The sequence below is a fragment of the Homo sapiens genome, chromosome 8 (genome assembly GCF_000001405.40).
Source record: "Homo sapiens chromosome 8, GRCh38.p14 Primary Assembly".
Taxonomy (NCBI): domain Eukaryota; kingdom Metazoa; phylum Chordata; class Mammalia; order Primates; family Hominidae; genus Homo; species Homo sapiens.
The window spans coordinates 112,823,230-112,845,817 of record NC_000008.11 but is presented as its reverse complement, the minus strand read 5'-3'; the positions used below and the strand labels follow the sequence as shown (position 1 = coordinate 112,845,817).

General features: G+C 34.8%; 1 protein-coding gene across 9 annotated transcripts in view; it reads left to right on the top strand.

Annotated features, from left to right (window-relative positions):
• Window positions 1-22,588, top strand: part of CSMD3 (CUB and Sushi multiple domains 3) — a 1,214,012-nt gene that overhangs the window by 591,122 nt on the left and 600,302 nt on the right. For all 9 annotated transcript variants that reach the window (NM_001363185.1, XM_017013010.2, NM_052900.3 and 6 more), the window contains one exon: window positions 16,029-16,132. In NM_001363185.1, the coding sequence (NP_001350114.1) occupies window positions 16,029-16,132 (104 nt within the window). The remainder of the gene's footprint in view (window positions 1-16,028; window positions 16,133-22,588) is intronic.

Sequence of the window (22,588 nt, the reverse complement as noted above, 5' to 3'; positions counted from 1 at the left end):
TAATTAGTATGCCTTGAAGTTGTTTAACTCCCTCTCACTCAGGTTTCCATTATTCTCCTTTGGATTAATAACCAGCTTTCCAATTAGCAAATCTTCATCTCATTTTTCTGCTTACTCCAAGCCTGTTACTTTCCAAAAAATTCAGTGTGATGTTTTATTCTGAGATGAAATAATGTCTTCTTTGTAAAATATTTAAATGGTTCTGCATAGCTTTATAGAGGAAGCCATGGGCAACCTAAACTACTCTTGTGTTAGACTCATACTTCAACACTCTATTTAGCCCCCAAAGCACTTCTAGGACCCTGTATTTTGGGGATAAGCCGCTCCTTCTGTAGGGAATATACTTTTTCACTTTGTTTACACATCTCCAGTCTTGTGACCCTGTTTATTAATGGCATCTTCTAGGACTCAGGTAATCTTTTACCTTTTCCTAGAAGCCTGTCCTATCTTCCCACCTAGATTGGGAAAGCTTACTCTGCATAACTGACCCATGTGTTGTCACATTACATTGTACTTACATGTTTGTGCACTTATTTTCCTTAGTTTAACCCTTAAGGACAAAAACCAGTTCCTGAGTCCATGCATCCTTAATATCTAATGAAGTAACTGTCATGTGGGAGTTTTTCAAATGAATATTTATTGAAATAACTGAGCAATTATTCCTAGACAAAATAGTTGCTTGTTTATTTCCATGTGTTTTAGCTCTTTCTAGGAATGTCTCTGGTTCTTACCAACAAAGTAGGCAAAATATGCAAATGGCAAAGCATTTTTGTTTGTATTTTTTCCACTACTGTTCCCACTACTAACCATTGGGTATACCCACCATTTTAATCTCAGTATTATGATTATACCGGAATCATATGCATAATCAGAGCTGTGTTGAATAATAATTTGACATAAATAGTAAGGAATTCAAATAAATTATGGCAATTAATGTACTTTATACAACCAAATACAGTCTTTCTGGGGCCGGCATAGGGGAGGAAAAAGAGAGACTGGGCAAAGAAGGTCTTAATTAAAACAACCGAGATGCACAGGCTTTTCAATTATGATTAGGTTTGGATGTCAGTGACAGAAAACGCATTAACAGAGACTTAAACAAGATATGTATCTGGTCCAAGACTAATGGTGTCTCTGATCCAGAAATTTCTCAGAGTCATAGTCTAACTCACCACCCTACCATTCCCAATTTGTGGTCTTTATCTTAGGTTGCAACATGGTGTCTAACCCTTCTAGGAAGCAGGTTGGGGGAAGTGATAAATAAGGAAAACAAAGGACAAATGTAAGCTATCTCTTAAGAAATATTCCTTGATGTTGCTTCAAAACATTTCTATTTATATCATATTTTTGCAATAATCTAACAACATTCTCATACTTAGCTACAAGAGAGAATGGAAAATATAGTCTTTAGTAAGGACAACTTGCTACCAGCTAGGAATTCTACTATGGTAGGAGAAGGAGTACATGGATGTTTTGGAAAGATATGACAACCTCTGTTACACATATTTAGTCCAAAATTGATGAGTGAACAAAGAATATTCCCTTTTAAGTACTAGCTAGCAAGAGAAAAGATATTAGGAAAAAACTCATGATTTTATTACTGTTACTGATTTTTTTGAATTAATTATATTAAATTGTAGATGAATTGAGTGTATGTGACAGGCACTATGCTAAGCTATTTTTATGTATCTTCTCACTTAATCCTCCTATTAATTGTATGAATAGTTAATATTATTGTATAGATTGTATAGGTGCAGAAACAAGTTTGGAAAACTTATGTGGCTTATGTAAATTTGCAGGGTGAGCCAGTGGCTTTATTAAATGAAATAAGAATGATGAAGTCTGGATGCTGTTATAAAAGTGACAGTTCCATTGCTACTGTAACAAATTACTGTAAACTTAGTGGCTTAAAACAAATAATAATATTAATATAAATTAAAACATTCATTATTTTATAATTCTGTGGGTCAGCAGTTCAGCATGGGGCTCACTGCAATAAAACTAAGTTGTCAGCACACTATATTCCTTTTTGGAAAATCTGGGAAAGAATGTTTCCTGTTAATCGATCTTGTTGGCAGAATTCAGTTCCTTGTAGTTCCTTAATATCTTTATTTTTTCTTGGCTCTTAGCTGAGGTCCATTCCCAGTCTTCTTCCTCCATCTTCAAATCCAGCAAAGATGTGTCTAGTCCTTCTGATGTCATATTTGCACATTCTTCTGACTTCTTCCTCTAATGTTAAGACTTGTGTGAATAGATTTGGCCCACTCTAGAAATCCAGAATAAACTTTTCATCTCAAGATTCTTAAATTGAATCACAAGTTCAAGTCCCTTTTGACATGTCTGGTAATATAGTCACAGCTTTTTTTTGGATTAGGGAGTGGACATCTTTAATTAGGTATTCTGCCTATCCCAGGTGGCAATGAGGAGTAACAAGGAAATTGGACAGCAGAAGACACTGTGTCCTCACATGGAAAGTGAGAAAGACAAGGGAGCTTAATGCTGCCTCTTTTATGAGCATCTAAATCCCATTTACAAGGGAGGAGCCCTCAAGGCACATCACCTCTTAAAGCTACCATCTTTAATACTATCACATTAATAATATCTGAATTTTTGAGGGGAGACATTCAAATGATAGTATCTAGTGTGATCATCATTCTTCTAATCAATGTTTTTGTAAACAAAAGCACAGAGAAGTATAAAGAAACCAAACATAAAATCTCTCTTTTTGGATAGAATTGATGCTTATTCTAGAAAGCATTTATGTTTATTTTATTCTTAAACTAATATTTTAGCAACTTCTTTTATCATCACATATATTTTAGTTAATTCCATAATTGCATGTATAAAATTATGGATTGCAATTTTACTAGTTAGAGGCAGATTCATTTTAACATCTTGAATCAACATAGTTTTTTTAACATCACGAGAGTTTAATACTTACAATAATAGTCATTGACTTTGAGTATTTTATATTCTTTTGAAGATGTAATACCACTCATTGAATAATTAGGAATAAATAGTAAATATTCATTGTATGTCCTTTCTATATTTTACATTCTTGATGCTAAAATTCCTCATATACTAATACACAAATATAAAAAGTACCTAGTTGTATATAAATATAGACACTGCATAATTGTGTAATGAATCACAGATCACCACCAAAAACTTATCTGGACTTCTGTGGTCTCAATAATTTAATTTCTTATGACTCTTGAAAGGATAATATGAGATATGCAGTAAGAACAGGGCCTGGAATATATATGTTCAAAATATTAGTGTTAATAATATTACTATTGTAACTACTACTGCAACTGCTACCACCACCAACAACACTAATAAATTCCCAGAGCGAGATGGGTATAATGCCTCCACTAACGTTTGAGCTTAGTTTCCTACGGTGCAGATAACACACACTCTCATACATTTCAGATCTTGAAATATTCTTGTGGAGACTCCCTGCTGATATTAGTCACCGGAAACCATCAGCAGATGCTTCTAAGTCAGAATAGGCTGCTGCCAAGAGAGCTTGAAGAAGAAACTGGCAAGAGCTGTGAGCTTTTGCTTTCCGTCACTGAGATATTTTGCAGCAGAATGGAAGGTTATCTTAATGACAACCTTAGAGTTAGTGGGGCCATGCTCAACCTTCTGGAACATTGTCTCCTACCCCAGCTACCTAACACCTCAAGAATAGCTGCAACTGGGTTGTGAAGAGAGAGGAGGAATGTGATATTATACCTGTGTTACCCACAGCACTTGCCCTTCTTAGTATTACAGCTTTTTGGTCTCCTGGAATCTCTATTCAATGTGAAGGAGAGTCATTTGGATGATTTAATTGCCCTCACACAGCAAGAATCACATAATGTACATATCAAAGTGTAAAAATGTGTGTAATTCCTTTGCTCAGTATTACATATCTGCTTTGAATTTTAACCCCTTCTGATGTAATAGTAAAGTCACCCACATCAATGATATTAGGGGTAAGGTTTGAAGGGAGCAACATCTGCAGAGATAGGATGTAGTAGTTCCACCTTTTTTTTTCCTGCTAAGACCTCTTCAGTGTCCACCCTATACATTCTCAGTCTGTGACGATCTCTAACATCCAAGGACAAGCATAAAGCACCTCATGTGCCTTAGAGTGGCCAGATGAATACCAATATTGTAAATCTTAGCTAGACATTACCTGGGAAATCCTACAGTTTTACAGTGTAGAACCTGGGATTGCAATCGATTTTTTAGAAAGACAAATGTGCTAACATCAGGAAGCTTCTAGTTAGCACTTTAAATAGACAATAAAAGGATAAACACAGGAATAAATAATCATCATGTAAAGAAATCACCCTTAATGGAATAAAGAGGAAGCCCCTTAGAAATGTCAAAAATACTTTTCTGAGCAGATGATTTTTCAGCCAATATTATGGAATGACAAGGAACTGGAAATGCAGAGAGAAGAGTGTCTGAGACAGAGTGAGTAGTCCTCATAAAGGATTTTTATGGCCCTGATGTCTTCTAGAAACTAAAAAGATTACAGGGGCCCTTGGCATAGTGGGTAAAGAGGAGAATGGGCAACATGGAGACTGTAGAACTAAAGAAAGATTAGATCATAGAGGCCCCTTTGAGATTTATTCAAATATGGAATGAGAAACCACTGATGAATGTGATATCTAAATAGTTCCTCTTTTCATTCAGATTTCTCTCAAGTTCCTCACCCTCACCTCCTCTATCACTGAACACCTCCACCACTCTCTATCATCTTACCTTGATTTATCTTTCTTTAAAACACTTCATAACACATATGAGTGTTTGAAGACTTTATATTCTATAAGATTATTATATATTTTTTAAATTTACTATATTCTTCCCCCAGTGAAGGAAGAAAAGTTAGTCTGTATCTATATCACTATAACAGTGCTGGTAAAGAGTCATATTTTTAAATATGTGTATACAATTAAATAAGTCAATAGCTTTTAGATAGAAGTTATATTATCTGATTTGTGTTTTAACTTAACCTCCAAAACTTAAAATAGGAGCCTTCTATTTGAAGCACAGTTCACAAAATAGGAAACAGTAGTATAGCTACCTTTCCTCACTCTTTTTTTATTAAAGTTTTACTTATAATTGACACATAAAAATTGTTTCTGGGGTTCAGAATTATACAAGGTTGCAGTGAAATACAGATATTTTGATGTCCCTATACCTTATATAATGATCAAATCAGAATAATTATTATATTTATCACCTTAAACATGTATTGCTCCTTTGTATAATAACATTCAAAATCTTCTTTTCTAGCTATCTTGGAATATACACTACATTGTTATTACTATGGTCACTCAAACTTCAACTTGGTACCCATTGACAAAGTAACTTTCCCAGTTTCTCCTTCCTCCTTATTCTCTCCAGCTTCTGGTAACCACAATAATACAATGAAAACTATAAAGCACTGATTAAAGAAATTGGAGAGGACACAAATAAATGGAAAGATATCTTGAGTTCGTGAAATGGAAGAATTAATATTGTTAAAATGTCCACATTACCCGTAGCAATCTACAAAATCCCTATCAAAATACCGGTGACCTTTTTCACAAAGACAGAAATAAAAACCCTTCCCCAGTCTTTTCCTAACTACTGGCTCCAGAGAGAATTCATTCATGGGCTACAAGTCTTTCCTCCTGCATAGCTGTGGCAGGTAATTTCTCTTGTACCCTAACTTCCTGGACTCCTGCCTAAGTTGCTTGTCCAGGAAGACATAGAAGTAAACCGGGCCTTCCACAGATATAAACTGATAAAGATTCACTACTCAATAACCTTGTTTAAATAAATTACATAAACAAAAATAAGGTTAACAACAAAGACCATGCATTGAGAAGCTGGTATCTTACATCCTGTCTTTTGGTGTCTTAAGAAAAATAACAAGGATAAACTGAGGCTGGAATTAAAACTCATTGCATGGTTCATTATATATGAAAGTATATAAATATCTGTATATCACTACTATAGTTGTGTATCTAATCATTTTGAACAAAACTTTCATTTTCTCAAAGTCTGGAGTCAAAGTTTTTTTATATAAAAATAGATATAGATAAATAAATGAAAAGAGAGGTATCCTAGACCATGATGACCCCATTATTAATAAGGGACAAAAAAACAGAAAAAGAGCCCTTCTTAACAAATTTATTTGAATTAGCCTCATACATATTTTTCAAAATATTTTGGATATATACGACCTAACTTATACAAATTTGTAATGAATAGTCTCCTAAAACCAAGAATATTATCTGCAAGGATTTTCTTCAAAATCTGTAAATTCAAGTTGATCATTTATATGTATTATGGAATTTAAATTATATCCTCCAGTAGCTAAGCATGAATAAATGATGGAAAGGAACCAATGGTTTTGTACTGTGGTGCTATGGATTTAATATTTGATGAATTTTTCATTTTATGTAGCTTCTTCCCTTCAGTGAAACATTTGTAGTGCTTTATGTAATCTGTCATTGTTACATGCCAACAGTCCCCTAAAGGAGAAGACCAGTGTACAGATATTAAAGGCATAGAAAAATAAAACAAAGCTAAAAGCTTTTATCACTCCATCAGTAGCTCTCAGTGTCCCCAGACTCTCCTCCACCCCATCTCTAAAATATGAGCCCTTGCAAGATTGAAACTGTTAACCTGATGCTGGCAGCAAAGTGGATTAGCCTAGAGAATTCCCTGAGGTGGCATTTTGCACTGTTGAATGGTCTAGCCTAGAGTCTTGGGATATATATTCTGTAATAAAATATGTAAGTAAAATATTAAATATTGCAATGCATAATTCTTCTAGAATATGAGATATTTATTATTTTCTCTAAAATGATATCACTTTCAAATGAATAAATAAGGAATTCTGATGTGTCATAGTTTAAGCATTTTGTATCATACAATATTTACCTATTTCATAAATTTCATATAAGTTTACCTTTGTATATTTATTTTTAAGTAGCTAATTTAGGATGATTATTACTTAAACATCATTAACATGAATTTTCCATATAGATGTGAAATGTATGTCACTTATAATACATACCACAAAAGCAGCCAAGTTTTAGAATTATTCTGAATTATATGATTTTTTAATAAAGGTACTCCATATTTTGCTCTCTCTGCATTAGACATTTACAAGCAATAACATTTGATAAGACAGTCCTGCCAAGGCATAGATTTTTGTGTGGGCCTTTGAATAATGCTTTCATGTGTATGGAAAAAAAGGGAAAAAAAACTATTATAATTATTTTAATTTAGAGCAAAGAAACCTTGTCTGAATCCACTCTTCTCCATCCCTACTTCCACAGTCCAAGTTTAGGTCTTCAATCTCTCTAACCCTGCCCTGTTATCCTTCAAATCCAGATTGTCCCTGCTGCCAAAATGAGCATGTAAAAAATTAAATATAACCCTGTCAACATTGTTCAAAATCGTAATATGCTGCTTTTCATATAGAAGATAAAGTTCACAGTCCTTAACATGGTCTGCTTTCTGCCTTCATCGCTAGTGTTCCTTCTCATCACTTTTTGCCTCACAGTTTATGTTTCAGAAACAAAAATAATATTTTTTTCACTTTGCCGTATTTCACATTCTACCCTAGAATGTTCTTTCCCAGTTCCCAACTCCACCTTCCTTGGCAGTGTCTGGGGTTTTCCACCTCAGGGAATCCTTTCCTCTATAGTCTCCAACTGGATTGAGTGGCTGTCATCTCTGCTAATATAACCCAGTGTGTCTATATCCCAAAGCAATCAACACAGGGTATTGTATTCATCTTGCTTATGTCATGTTTCCCTCATTGGACTATGATTGCCAAGGTATAGAATGTATATGAAGAAAGAAGTGCTTTAATTAGATGTCAAGTTGATTGTGTAACGTGGTATTTGCATACCTTGAGATTAATTAAAGTTTTTATATTTTGTAATTATACATATATAATGCATTCTGATTTCCACACCGGGGAGCAAAAATAATTGTTAATATTAGAGTGACTTATTGCCATTCTGAAATAATCATAATGGAGAAAAGCTGCTCCCAAAAAAGGTAAATTTTTAGCAACATAGAGTTTGGGGGAAAAACTCTTATCTTGGAATCAAATGGGATTGCTGAAAAAAGAACTTCATCCTCAAGATCCATTGTGAACAGATACGAATACCTATTTTAAGATAATTGACATAGCTAATAATAACTGCCATTTATGAGGTCCTACTATATATCAAGCATCCTATGTGTTATTTTATAATCCTTGCTTATTGTAATACATATTTCAACCTTAAAAAATAGAAATTATAAACACTATTTCATATAAGTTAGAGAATTGCTCAAAATAATATAACTTTTTTTTAGAGAAATGGGGCTATAATCCCAGGCTTTTCCTGTGGACTTATCTATATTATCCTGTCTCACTAATGAGTATAGCTTGGTATTGGTATTGGTATTGGCATTAGTTAAAGCATCATTAATTTGTTTGGTTAAACATCATCAAAGGCTAATTTGAATGTTGTACTAATTATGTAAATAAAAAATGTCTAATATTGAGTATTTTCTTCAGCTTTCAGAATTATTTTGAATTAACAAATACAGACTTTACCATGAAATACAAAAGAACTTGTATCAATAGATGCTTTCTATATTTTTTTCCCGAAGAATTTATGTAATATTTATTAGTTGTTAGGTTTCAGAAATTGTCTCTCCCTGCCATCACTATTTAATACATGAGGCATATGCCCAACATCAAAGAACATATTTATAAATTATTATAACAACATGATATGAGGTATTTGGGATGCACGGAAAATATTTTCTAAATTTCAGAAGTTTACTTTGTTAACGTAGAATAGCATGATGTTTAAGCATGTAATTACTATCATCAAGCAAACTTGAAGTTTAGTTTCATCACCAGTAGCCAAATAAACATGGGAAAATTACTTGGGCAAAGCATTCCTTTAAACTGAGAATTTATTAAAACGATTTGTTCATTGGAATGTCTTCAGTTTACATATGGGAAACCTCAAATCGAATGACTTAAATAACAAATGCATTATTTAAAAAGCATACTGTCCAGAAGCATGCAAGCCCCACGCACACAGAAAAACACCGTTCCTAGGTTCTGGACATCTCAACATGTAGTTTTGCTTTATCTTCAAACTACGTATTGTGAGATGGTTGTAATAGCTGAATACATTCAGATAGAATTACCTCAAAGCAGACTGATTTTTTGTACTTCTTTGAAAACCAAGAAATCATTTTGCAAAAGCCTCTCAGCAAATTGCTAATCATCTTCCAGTGGCCAGAATTAGGTCAAATACGTGTAATCGAATCACTGGCAAATGGAATGGGGCATAGAGTGATTAGGACCCATCTCAGGAAACTCATAATTGGATGAGCAGTCCCTGAGTATTAGGATGTACAGAAAAGAATACAAGAGAACAAAATATATGTCCTGTTGAGAAGAAAAGGTCAAGGGTAAATACGGAAGGTGGCTGTTGGGTAAGCAATCAATAGCATCTGCCACATTTTCCCCTTTGGTTATCAAATACCTCTCCAGACCCATTTTTCTTCTCCTGCATTCACTTTGGAAAAAATACCTATGTAAAACATACTTTCTATCTACATTAATAGAGAAAACCTAAAATTTCATCCATTTACTGCATACAAAGATATGTCCAGAATCCCTAAGTGATACACTGGCTTCTCCATTATATTTACAGGTAGTTCCTCATTGTCTAAAGAACTGTGGCTAAAACATAGGCTATCCCAAATCCAATATAAAAGTATAGAAAACAAATAGGGTAACTCCATAAAAACTCCCACTCAGAAGAAGAGAGAATTGAAGCTACACAGAGTGGTTACTGGGTCACAGAACAATATCATGTCCTTCTGGATAAGACTAGTGAATACTGATTTCTCTAGAAATGGAATGAGTTCCTAGATAAGCTTGGAATGTAATAGAATCCATTTACCTTGTCATAGTGCTCCACAGCTTCTGGCTCTGATTCCTGAGAGGATTTATTTTTACCTGTTGAACAAGACTGCTGTGCTCTAGAATTTCAGTGCCACTACATATTACAACCACTGTTGCCCCTGAAACTGTGTTTCTGTTGCTTTTGACACTCTTTGCCAGAATTCAATCTTTGTTTCCTTATTTATACACATAAGATGTGTATCTGATTGATAAGGGAATCTTAGTTCTCATGCCTGTACACTGGATACAATGAATAATGGGGAATCTAGGATCTGACCATATTGGGAGGTATGCTGTACTTCCTACCAAGATTCCTAATTTCCCAGACAAAAGGAGGATATTCAGGTGCTGGGCAGCCAGAATAATGTATAGGTGTACACAACATAGACTTTTAGGGTCAAAATAAAATAATGCATTTATAATTCTGAGACCAGTGTTTTACATAATATAAATATGTTCCATTTAAAAAACTCATGTTAATGGGTATTAAGTGGGAATTCCGCATGGCTTCAGAAAATATGACAATGTAGAAGTTATGGTATTAAATTATCTGTGCAAGATTCACAGAAAGATTATGAGACATAGCTTCTGTACCACTTTTAACAAAATATCCTGTAAAAACCTATGTATTGAGCCTTATGAGAAATGGATCTACCAAGTATTTAATATTTAATGCTATCTATGGATTTTTTACTTCTGGAAAGTCAGTGTTAAAAAGCATTATGTTATTTTTAATTGACTTCATTAGTAGATTAAATGTTTTAATTCAAACCTCAATAAGCAACACTAAGCAATCCAGTTGGAATTACCATTTCACAATGGAAATCAAGAGAGTGACTTACTTGGTTTAAAAAAATCAAGACAATTATACATTATTTAAATACTTTAAGGGTATATTTTATTATTCCAGTTTTTCTTTCATTAGTCCTATGTGCTAAATGCAATTTATGTTTTTGTTTATTTACTCCACAAATGATTAGGAAGAAGTAAAACAGGCAAAATGTATGGCATTCTTTTTACACTAAATGCATAATATTTTTCCTATTTTCTTACTAAATGTTTCAGCCCTACTACCAAATAAACATGTAGAGGAAGCATTCCTATTATACTTATGACTATTTGTTGATTTTTTATATTAACTTTTCTATATTATACAAAAATAAATGGGTGGAAATGTCTATTTGGCCACTTTCATATTATTAAAGTATCAATAAAGAAGGAAAATTTTACATCAGACTCCTGATGTTACTTATTACATTATAGAATGAACAAGTTTTGTTGTCATTTTGTTTTTGTTTTCCTAAGCTTTATTTACACATGCTATTAAAGATATTTTTCTTTTAACCATATCTCAATATACTAAGTTGGAGTTTTACTGTAATACCTTACTTATATTAATGGCTTCAAATAAGGCAAAGCTAATTTTTATTTTTTTAATGCACAAGTTTTACTTCTGTGGACTATTTCAATAATAATGTTAAAAATAAGCATAAATGAATCAAACTAAAATGAATGTATTATAAAAATTCAATCAGAATATTCTAGCTTCTCAGTAATTGTATGTCACTGAAACTGTTCAAGAATTATTAAGTGTCTAAAAATTCAGTGAAAGCTCAGTGGTTAAGTGCTTATCCAAAAGTATATGGATTAGTTAGTAATTAATTCATCACTTAATTTAAAGTGAGATAGAGCTCTCATTGTTGCATACATACATGCATGAGTCTCAGTTACAATTTAGGCAAAATAAAATCTACCATTAAATGGGTGTCCAAAGTCTTTAGGATATGATCATACTATAATGGATATCAAGAGTTTGGCATAGAACTAGCAATCAATTAGGCAGTCATTTACCTAATTTGTATCCACTAGCCTATTAGACTTTTAAGTCATATGAAAGGAAACATTCTCTAATTTTAATTACAGTGCACTCATATATCTACTGTGAAATAGGTTGGGGTGATGAAGATCATGGGATTTATCCTTCTGGCAGGATGACAGATGAGGTACTTTGAGAGTTACTCTCACTGAAATATAAGAAACATGGTAGTGTTCATGTCATTATTAGTTCACAAGAAAACAAAAGAAATGTATAAAACTATGTATGAATACCATGCAAACCTACAGACACACACACACACACACACATACACACATATATATTGGAAGCATTCCCTCTTAAATGAGGTACAATTTAATGAGACTAATTGTCATCTGTTCTAGTAAACATTTTACCAGATATCCAAGAAAGTTAAGATTTTAAAATTACATAATTTGGAAAGGAAGAACCTAAAATATTATTTACAGAAGACATGCTTGCTATGTAAGAAACTAAAAATAATTTACAAATGTTTTTAAATAATATGGAAGCTTTATCCAGTGCCTAGTTAGATCAATAAACAAAAAATAAATTTCTTTTCTATATACCAAAAAAGTTCCAAATATAAAGATAAAATACCACTTTCAATAACAAAAAGCATTTTCAAGAAGTAATATACTAAAAAAATTATTAAAATATATTTAGAGATCCAAATAAATGAAGAGAGAAGTCAGGCTTGTGTGTAGGGATATTCAATACCTTAAGATGTCAGTTCTCACCAAATCAGTTACAGATTCACTGCAATTCCATTAGAAAGCCCAAAATAAATTTTTGAAGAATTTTACAAGTTGATATGTGAAAGACAAATGGTCCAAGAGTAGTCAAAATACTCCCAAAGAACAAAAGTATTAAGTGTGTGGAGTATCTGACTTATAAGGTACAGTCTTATCTTATAGCAATAATAAAAATAAGCCAATTTGTGGTAGTTCGGGTACATACAAACTTACCAAGAGAACAAGATCCAGAATCCAAAATCCAACATACTTATATACAGAATAGTGATATATGTTTAGGGTTTGCTGATCATTGGAGAAAGAAGGGCTATTTATTAAATAAAAAGTATTGAGACAACTGGATGTTCATATTGGAGGGAAAAATGAAAGGAATATTGTGCTAATTTATATTGCTGTGTAAAAAATTACCCAAAATTAGCAACATGAAACAACATAAATTTTTTATCTCACAGTTTCCACAGGAAAGGAGTCTGGGCATGGATATCTGGGTCTTCTTTTCAAGGTTGTACCGGGGTGAAATCAAAGCTTTGGTCTGGGATGTGATCTCATTTGAAACTGTAGGGCTTCTTCCAAGCTCACTTGTTGTCAGAATTCAATTATTGTGGTTGTAGGACTTAGGCCCTCAGCTCCTAAAGGCCACCCACTGCTCCATGCTAAATGTGCCTTTCCACAGCATGGCAGTTTGTATCTTCAAGGCCAACAGGAGAGCATCTCTTCTGATTTTTTGTTTGCTTGTTTTTTGATCTCTCATTTCTGGACCTTCTTTTAAAGGGAATCTCCTGAATTAGTCAGGGCCACTCAGGATAATCTCCCTTTTGATGAACTTAAAGTCAACTGATTAGAGATCTTAATTACACATCTTTAATATTCCTTCACCTTTTCCATATAATATAAACTAATCATAGGATTGATAATCCGTCATTTTCATAGGTCTTGCCCACACTGAAGAGGAGGATATTATATAGGTTATCTACACCGAGGGATTAGAATATTGGAAGACATCTTAGAATTCTGCCTCCCACACATTCCTACTTTGCAGTTTCTGTAAAAGTCAATTCACAAAAGATAAAAGATATGAAGATACATCTTTATGAGCTTGTGTCATTAATATTAATAATTTTTACCAGAGTAGGATTTGTTTATCTATTATTTTATGAGTAGATAAGTAAGTCCTACTCTGGTAAAATTAATAACTTTTCTTATAAATAATCTAACAAGGAAGCTGTGAACTTGAAGCTATTGCAACACATATAATGTAAGGGATTAGTATCCATAATATATAAAGCTGATCTCAACTAGTGAGCCAGATCCAGTGGTGTACTATGAGTGAGCCACAGGTAGAACTAAGATATTGATTTAACTCCCTCTATGGAACAGAAGGTCCTGGGCAAAAAATAAAAATAAAATTTCCATTATAAGCAGCTTCATCTGTTCACCTTTGTGTATTACAAATATTATTGTTTTCAAAGTGTGCTATAATGGAATGTTTTCAGAATCACCAATATAAAGAATTCTTGCAAATGATAACAAGTAGACAAGCAGTCTGAGGAAAAAAGATGCCAAAACACAAACAGTTGTGTCACAGAAAAGGAAATATAAATGATATATAAACATATAAAAAGATATGTAACTCAATTAGTATTAAGGAAAATGCGAAAAAAAAAAAAACACTTTTACATCTACTAGAGTGGTAGGAATAAATGCATTCAATGTACACGAATGTGAACATTTGAATTGGTAAAACAATTTTGGAAAACCATATGGTACTAGGTTATAAAATGAATTTTTGCTGTTATTACCTAGCAAGTATACTGCCTAGAGACATACCTGAAAATGTGTACCAAAAGATGTTTAATACTGCTCATGACCATGTTGCTTATAGTAGCCAAAAAAAAAAAAAAGAAAGAAAATGGGAAACAATCTAAGTCTGTATTGACAGGTAATTATTAATGGGAAGTATTTATATTTTACTATAAGTGGAACAAATACACATATTTTTTAAATTATGATCATGTAAAATGTATAGTTCAAAGTCTTTATACACATGCTGTATTTAAACTTGGCCAAAACAATTGTTTTAGTCAATGCAAATATTAAAATATTTTATAAAACAAGAAATATGTGTAGTCAAAAATTGTTGGCCAGGTCCAGTGGCTCACGCCTGTAATCCCAGCATTTTGGGAGGCCGAGGTGGGCGGATCACGAGGCCAGGAGATTGAGACCATCCTAGCTAACATGGTGAAACCCCGTCTCTATTAAAAATACAAAAAAATTAGCCAGGCATGGTGGCGGGCACCTGTAGTCCCAGGTACTCAGGAGGCTGAGGCAGGAGAATGGCATGAACCCAGGAGGCGGAGCTGGCAGTGAGCCAAGATCGCGCCAGTGCACTCTAGCCTGAGTGACAGAGCAAGACTCCATCTAAAAAAAAAAAAAAAAAAATTGTTATTATAACAAAAAAAAGCCAAGATATAAATTCCTTTATTTTTAATTATTTTTATAATAACAAAGTAGCAAATAGTTATAAATATTACTAAAGAAATATCTTCTTCATTTATTCTCTCATAATATGGTAACTTCAGGCATTCATTTTATCAGGTGATGAATAATATTTTGTTATAAATTATTTTTTGCTCAAAGCATGACTCTATGCAGGACATTATGTAATTTTATGTAATTTCTTTCTGTACTGATTCTTAATTACATTTTTTCAATATTATAGCTATTTTTAAAATTGCAATTTAATTAAATTTGAATTTTTGCATAGGTATATAAACAATATATGGATACATGAGTATATTTTAGCAAGAAATAATGCTGAATTACATAGCATGGTATAGTGTGCCTCTCAAAGTATTGTGCTCCCAGTTTTGCCGCTCATTTTAATATATTTGAGGAATTCTTTTACCAAACGATACATAAAAATAAACTTGATACCATTCTGGCAATCTAGATTCAAGTTTAGCTCTAACAAATTTTAAGCTTTACTACTTAATGGAAATAGCACACTCTGTTTCTGCATGTTAACTTTATAAAATATATATGCAAATATGTGGAAAACCACTCTCCACCTACATATACTTTTTATAAAGCCTTCTTAAAGTAGATTTGCTTTAATCATTCTTCAAGTAAGAGTATTCTATAAACAGAAACCATGCAATTTCATTGAAAATTTAATGCAGAAAATACAATACAGCAAGTAAAAGTCATGTAATGATATGATTGAACTTTAAGAATATTCTAACATGACTTGCTGCCATACTATGAAATTATATATATATTTATACATAATTGAACTGCTTGTGTGTGTGTGTGTGTGTGTGTGTGTGTGTGTGTGTGTGTGCAGAGAGACAAAGAATGCATTTCTGTCATTGCTTTTTTTGTTGTTTTTATTGCACAACGCAGTATATTTAAGGTGCATGTTTCTGTTTACTGCTAGGTTATCCAGATAAATTTTGAAGAATTTGATCTGGAGATTGGCTATGATACCTTGACAATTGGCGATGGGGGCGAAGTTGGAGATCCTAGGACAGTGCTCCAAGTGTAAGTTCCCAATGTTTCATTTTTGCCTTAGCCTATCGGGTACTAATAAAATTTTACTTTCAAATTATTGTTTTACATTGATCGCTCCCACTACTACCAGCAGAAGATGCACAGTAACTTAGTTATTATTGTTAACTTTCATAGAATCTGTTAGTGCTTCTTCAATGAGATTTAAGGCACTTTGTCTCAGTTCAGTTGGGCTTCTCTAACAACATGCAGTAAACTGGGTGACTTATAAACAATAGAAATGTATTTCTTATAGTTCTAGCGGCTAGGAAATACAAGATTAAGGTGTCAGCAGATTTGACGTCTGGTGAGGGCCTGCTCATCTAACCTGATGCTTCTCAAAATAGGGTCTTTTTGCATCACAAATGCATCACAAATACCTGGTGCACATTTGAAAATGTAGATTTTTAGGCCCTCAAGCCGAACTTAGTGAATCAACATCTCCAGGATGTGAATTTATCAATCTATATTTTAACAGAATCACTGCATGATCCTTATGCACATCAAAGTTGGAGAACAACTGATATAAATGTTAAAAAAATTAGTATCAGCATAGACAGCTACTACTGGTAATGCCCTTATTGTATGTAAATTGACTAAAGGTAAGCTATTTTTTTTTCCTTTTTTTTTCTTTTCCTTTTCATTCTCTTCTCCCTCTTCTTTTTATTTTCTTTTTAATTTTACAAGAAGGCCTCCTAGAACTATTATTCCAGAATCCTGTAATAAACCAAGGGTTAAACTCATAGTCACACATAGTATGTTGTGGGCTCCAATATTACTGCTCTTTAGTGTTACTTTTCTAGAAAACAAAACAAAAACCAAACTTACTCACCTGTCTTCATGCACTCTTGACCTCAACTTCAACCTCTTTCCCCTGTCTGCAACGTGGATATCATTGATCAACATGATTTGGTGGTCTATCTCTGGCCTACTACAGTTCTGTTTTGTGTTTCCTAAGGTGTGATGGACAAATGGGCCAGCATTTTACATGCTTTATATGTTCAATTATTAGTTCGTTTTCACACTGCTTTAAAGAACTACCTGAGACTGGATTATTTATGAAGAAAAGAGGTTTAATTTACTTTCATTTCCACAGGCTTAACAGGAAGCATGACTGGGAGACCTCGGGAAACTTACAATGGTGGCCGAAAGCAAAGGGGAAGCCAGGATGGTGGCAGGAGAGAGAGAGAGATGGTGGCAGGAGAGAAAGAGAGAGAGAGAGCAAAGGGGGAAGTCCCACACACTTTAAAACCATCAGATCTTGTGAGAACTCACTATCATGACAACAGCATGGGAGAAATCCACCCCTGTGATGCATTCACCTCCCACTAGGTCCCTCCTCCAATTTGACGTGAGATTTGGGTGGGGACACAAATCCAAACTATATCAGTTATGTTGCTCACATTTTTGTAACTTCATTCTTAACACTTCCTCTCTTGAAAATGATCAGCATTTTTGTTGCACCTGAGCAACAATTTGAGCCTGTTAGGCATATTACCATACTGAACTGACATTTTCCAGAAATAATCAATAGTTTCTACTAAATCTTATTGTAGTTTTATACCTGATAGCTTAGATTTCATTATAATATAAAATTGCATATATTTTACATGCAATATACTGTAAAATTGTATATATATAAATTGGCAGCAACAGAGCTGCTCTGATGATTAGCTGTGCTTTTTTCCTATCATTATTTGTCAAATACAGAGTTTTAAGGAACTGAAAATTACATGTAAAAATTTGAATTTATGGCTTCTTGTAAAACTGGTGACCCTAGATCTTCATAGTCATGTGGCAAAAATTGGCTAGGACTGTCTTCTGCCTCCTATGGAGAGGGCCTCTTTGTGGCCCTAATCCCTCTATCATTTTCCACTTGAGCTTCTAAGATCCTTTGCGTTGCCTGCCTGGGCCTATAGCTAATTAAGTGACACCTGATATAAGACAAAATGTGGATTGCTTTCTTTATCAATTTATTCATTGTTTTGCAAGTGAATATGTTTGTTTCTTTACCTGACACTCATAAACACTGAAGTTTCTTGGATATTAATGATACATAGTAAATTTGGTGATTAATCCTCACACATTGCAGATGTTTCTCTCTACATGTTTGTTAGATCCTATCACATGCACTTTAGAGATAAAATTGTAAAACATGTATTTGATGAGATATCTTTTCCTTTTTCTCCTTAAGACAGAAAACTGGATTTTAGGTTCAGATTCTTAAAAACATGGACAAGAAAAGGCAGGCTGGCTAGTCAATTGACTAAAAAATACTTTTTAAGAAGCTTTCATTCATGTATCTGCCACAAAAAAAACTTCCATCTCAGCATTGGATAAAATATTAGAAATCATCTTGTCCAACTGACATCCAAGAGCATAGATGCTATGTCCTCCTATTGCTGTTTTCTTAAAAAAACAAAAAAAAGCTATTTGAGCTAATTGGTATCACACAATTGTGGGTAGAAAGATTATATATATATATATATATATATATATATATATATATATATATTTATGGTAACCTAGTAAAATACAGAAGAAAGATGTCAAAATTATCTTAAATACTCAACTATTAGAACTGGTTAAATATAAAAAGAGTACATTTGTTGGGATTGAGGAGTGGTCTGTACAATCCCTAATGTTAAAAAAAATGTGTGTTTGAACCATATTTTTCACCCTATTTCAATGTTAGAAAAATTCGGAAGACAATCATGAATTCTGATGTACCAATTGATATCCTTTTTGGACAGAAAATCATTGTATAAGTAACATAGAATGACTATTAGGTATTATTTTTCAAAAGAATACCAAGTACCCAAATGGTTGTTCCTACACCATCAAATTTAAAGTTTCCAATGAGAACTGCATCTTCAGTAGGGATTAAAAATTAGGCTTTGGGGCAGGGCCAGTATGGCCAACTAGAAGCAGCAGAGATCGGAGGCTGCCATTGAAAAGAACCACAACAGTATGCAAATCCTGCACTGGCAATCGAGATATCCAGATTCTGTCATCAGAACTGACTAGGTGGCTAGCATGATCCAAGGAGAGGAAAAAGAGCAGTGTGGTGCAGCAGCCCACCTGAGAGCCACATGGGGCAGGGGAGCCCCCATTCCATAGCCAAGGGAGGTGGTGAGGGAGTGTGCTACCCAGCCTGAGAAACCATGTTTTTTACATGGAACTGTGCAACCCACAGATTGGATGATCCCAGTCACAAGCACACGCCACCAGGGCCTAGGGTCCCAACCAGAGATCCACACAGATTCTCAATAGCCACTCATCTAGAATCTGCTTAAGCCTGCCGAGCTCTCAGGGGAAGGGGTGGCCAGCATCTCAGCTGTGGCTGCCTGTTGTCTAAGTCATTTGAGCTTCTTGGGGGAGGGTTGGTAGCCAACACTGGGACTGATAGCTGCCTAACACACTAAGCTCCCAGGGCAGGGGAAGGGTGGCAGCAATCTCTATAGCTCCAGGCCACGCTTTTCTTCTGCTGGAGCCAGAGAGGCTGAATGGCTTGGTCTCAAGAGGTATCCCCCATAGCCCAACATACTGGCTGTGGCAGACTGTGGCCAGAGTGCCTCTTCAGACCTGAACCTGACCCATCCCTCCCCACTGGGTTGGGCCTCCCTGCAGGAACTCCAAGAACTCCAGCCAGGGGCTCAGGGACAGAACTCTGATCTCCCTGGGCTTGAGTCCCTAGTGGGAGGTGTGGCCACAGTCTCCAGGGACCAGCAGAATTAGTTTTTCCTCCTGATAGTTCTGGGCAATCCAGGCAGACCAGACGAGTGATTTTCCTTTCAGCAAAGCACACCCTGTCCACCAAGGGACAGTCAAAGTGCTTCATTAAACAGGAACTGTTCCCTATGCCACTCAACTTGGTAAGACCCTCCAACAGGAGTTCTCAGACACCCTATACAGGAGTGTTCCTACTGGCATCAGATAGGTGCCCCTTGAGGTCAGAGATCCCAGAGGAAGGAACAGACACCCATCCTTGCTGTTCTCCAGCCTCCTCAAGTGACATCTCCAGGTGCCGGAGTGAACCAGATGAATAGGGCCTGAAGTGAACCTCCAGGAAACTGCAGCAGCCTTACAGAAGATGGACCTGACCATTGAAAGAAAAACAAACAAACAGAAAGGAACAACAGCAGCATCAACAACAACAACAAAAAAGTCCCCATAGAAACCCCATCTGAGGGTCAGCAGCCACAACGATAGAAACTAGACAAAGTCATGAATGTGAGAAAGAATTAACAACAACAACAACAACAACAAAAAGATGAAAATCCAGAAGGCCAGAGTGTCCCTGGTCTTCCAAATGATTGCAGTGCGTCTCCAGCAAGGGCACAGAACTGGACAGAGGATGAGATGGAGGAATTGACAGAAGTAGGCTTCAGATGTTGAGTAATAACAAACTGCTGAGCTAAAGGAGCACGTTCTAACCAAATACAAAGAAGATAAGAACCTTGATAAAAGGTTACAGGAGCTGCTAACTAGAATAACCAGTATAGAGAGAAATATAAATGACCTGATGGAGGTGAAAAACACAGCAGGAGAACTTTGTGAATCATACACAGGTATCAATAGCCAAATTGACCAAGTGGAAGACAGGATATCAGATTTTGAAGACTGTCTTGCTGAAATAAGGCATGCAGACTAGATTAAATAAAAAACAATGAAAAGGAATGAACAAAACCTCTGAGAAATATGGAACTATGTCAAAAGACTGAACCTATGATTGATTGGAGTATGGGAAAGAGATGGTTAGAATGGAACCAAGTTGGAAAACACCCTTCAGGATATTATCCAGGTAAACTTCCCCAACCTAGCAAGGCAGCCCAACATTCAGATTCAGGAAATACAGAGAACACCACTAAGATACTCCATAAGAAGATCAACTCCAAGACACAAAATCATCAGATTCCCCAAGGCTGAAATAAAATAAAAAATGTTAAGGGCAGCCAGGGAGAAAAATCAGGTCACCTACAAAGGGAAGCCCATCAGACTAACAGTGGATCTCTCAGCAGAAACCCTACAAGCCAGAAGAGAATGGGGGCCAATATTCAACATTCTTAAAGAAAAGAATTTTCAATCCAGAATTTTATTTCCAGCCAAACTAAGCTTCATAAGCAAAGGAGAAATAAAACCCTTTCAAAAGAAGAAAATGCTGAGGGATTTTGTCACCATCATACCTGCCTTACAAGAGCTCCTGAAGGAAGCACTCAATATGGAAAGGAAAGACAAGTACCAGCCACTGCAAAAACACACCAAAATATGAAGACCAAATGACACTATGAAGAAACTGCAACAGTTAATGTCCAAAATAACCAGATAGCGTCATGATGACAGGATCAAATTCACATGTAACAATACTAACCTTAAATGTAAATGGACTAAATGCCCCAGTTAAAAGACAAAGACTGACAAATTGGATAAAGAGTCAAGACTCATCAGGGTGCTGTATTCAGGAGACCCATCTTATGTGCAAAGACACAAATAGGCTCAAAATACCAAGCAAATGGAAAGCAAAAAAAAAGCAGGGGTTGAAATCCTAGTTTCTGACAAAACAGACTTTAAACCAACAAAGATAAAAAAAGACAAAGAAGGGTATTACATAATAGTAAAGGGATCAATTCAACATGAGGAGCTAACTATCCTAAATATATATGCACCTGATACAGGAGCACCCAGATTCATACAACAAATTCTTAGAGACCTACAAAGAGACTTAGTCTCCCACACAATAGTAGCAGAAGACTTTAACACCCCACTGTCAATATTAGATATATCAGTGAGAGAGAAAATTAACAAGGATATTCAAAACTTGAATTGATCTATGGATCAAGTGGACCTAATAGACATCTACAGAACGCTCCACCCCAAATCAACAGAATATATATTCTTCTCAGTGCTACATGGCCTTTATTCTAAAATTGACCACATAATTAGAAGTAAAACACTCCTCAGCAAATGCAAAAGAACTGAAATCATAACAAACAGTCTCTCAGACCAAAGTGCAATCAAATTAGAAGTTGGGATTGAGAAATTCACTCATAATCACACAACTACATGGAAACTGAACAACCTGCTCCTGAATGACTCCTGGGTAAATAATGAAATTAAGGAAGAAATGAAGAAGTTCTGTAAAACCAATGAGAATAACGAAACAGCATACCAGAATCTCTGGGACACAGCTAAAGTAGTGTTAAGAGGGAAATTTATAGCACTAAATGCCCACATAAGAAAGCTACAAAGATCTCAAATTGACACCCTGACATCACAATTAAAAGAAATGGAAAAATTCCTGGACACATAACACCCTCCCAAGACTAAACCAGTAAGAAATCAAATCCCTGAATAGACCAATAACAAGTTCTGAAATTAAGGCAATAATTATTAGAGTACCAACCAGAAAAAGCCCAGGACCAGATGGATTCACAGCCAAATTCTTCCACA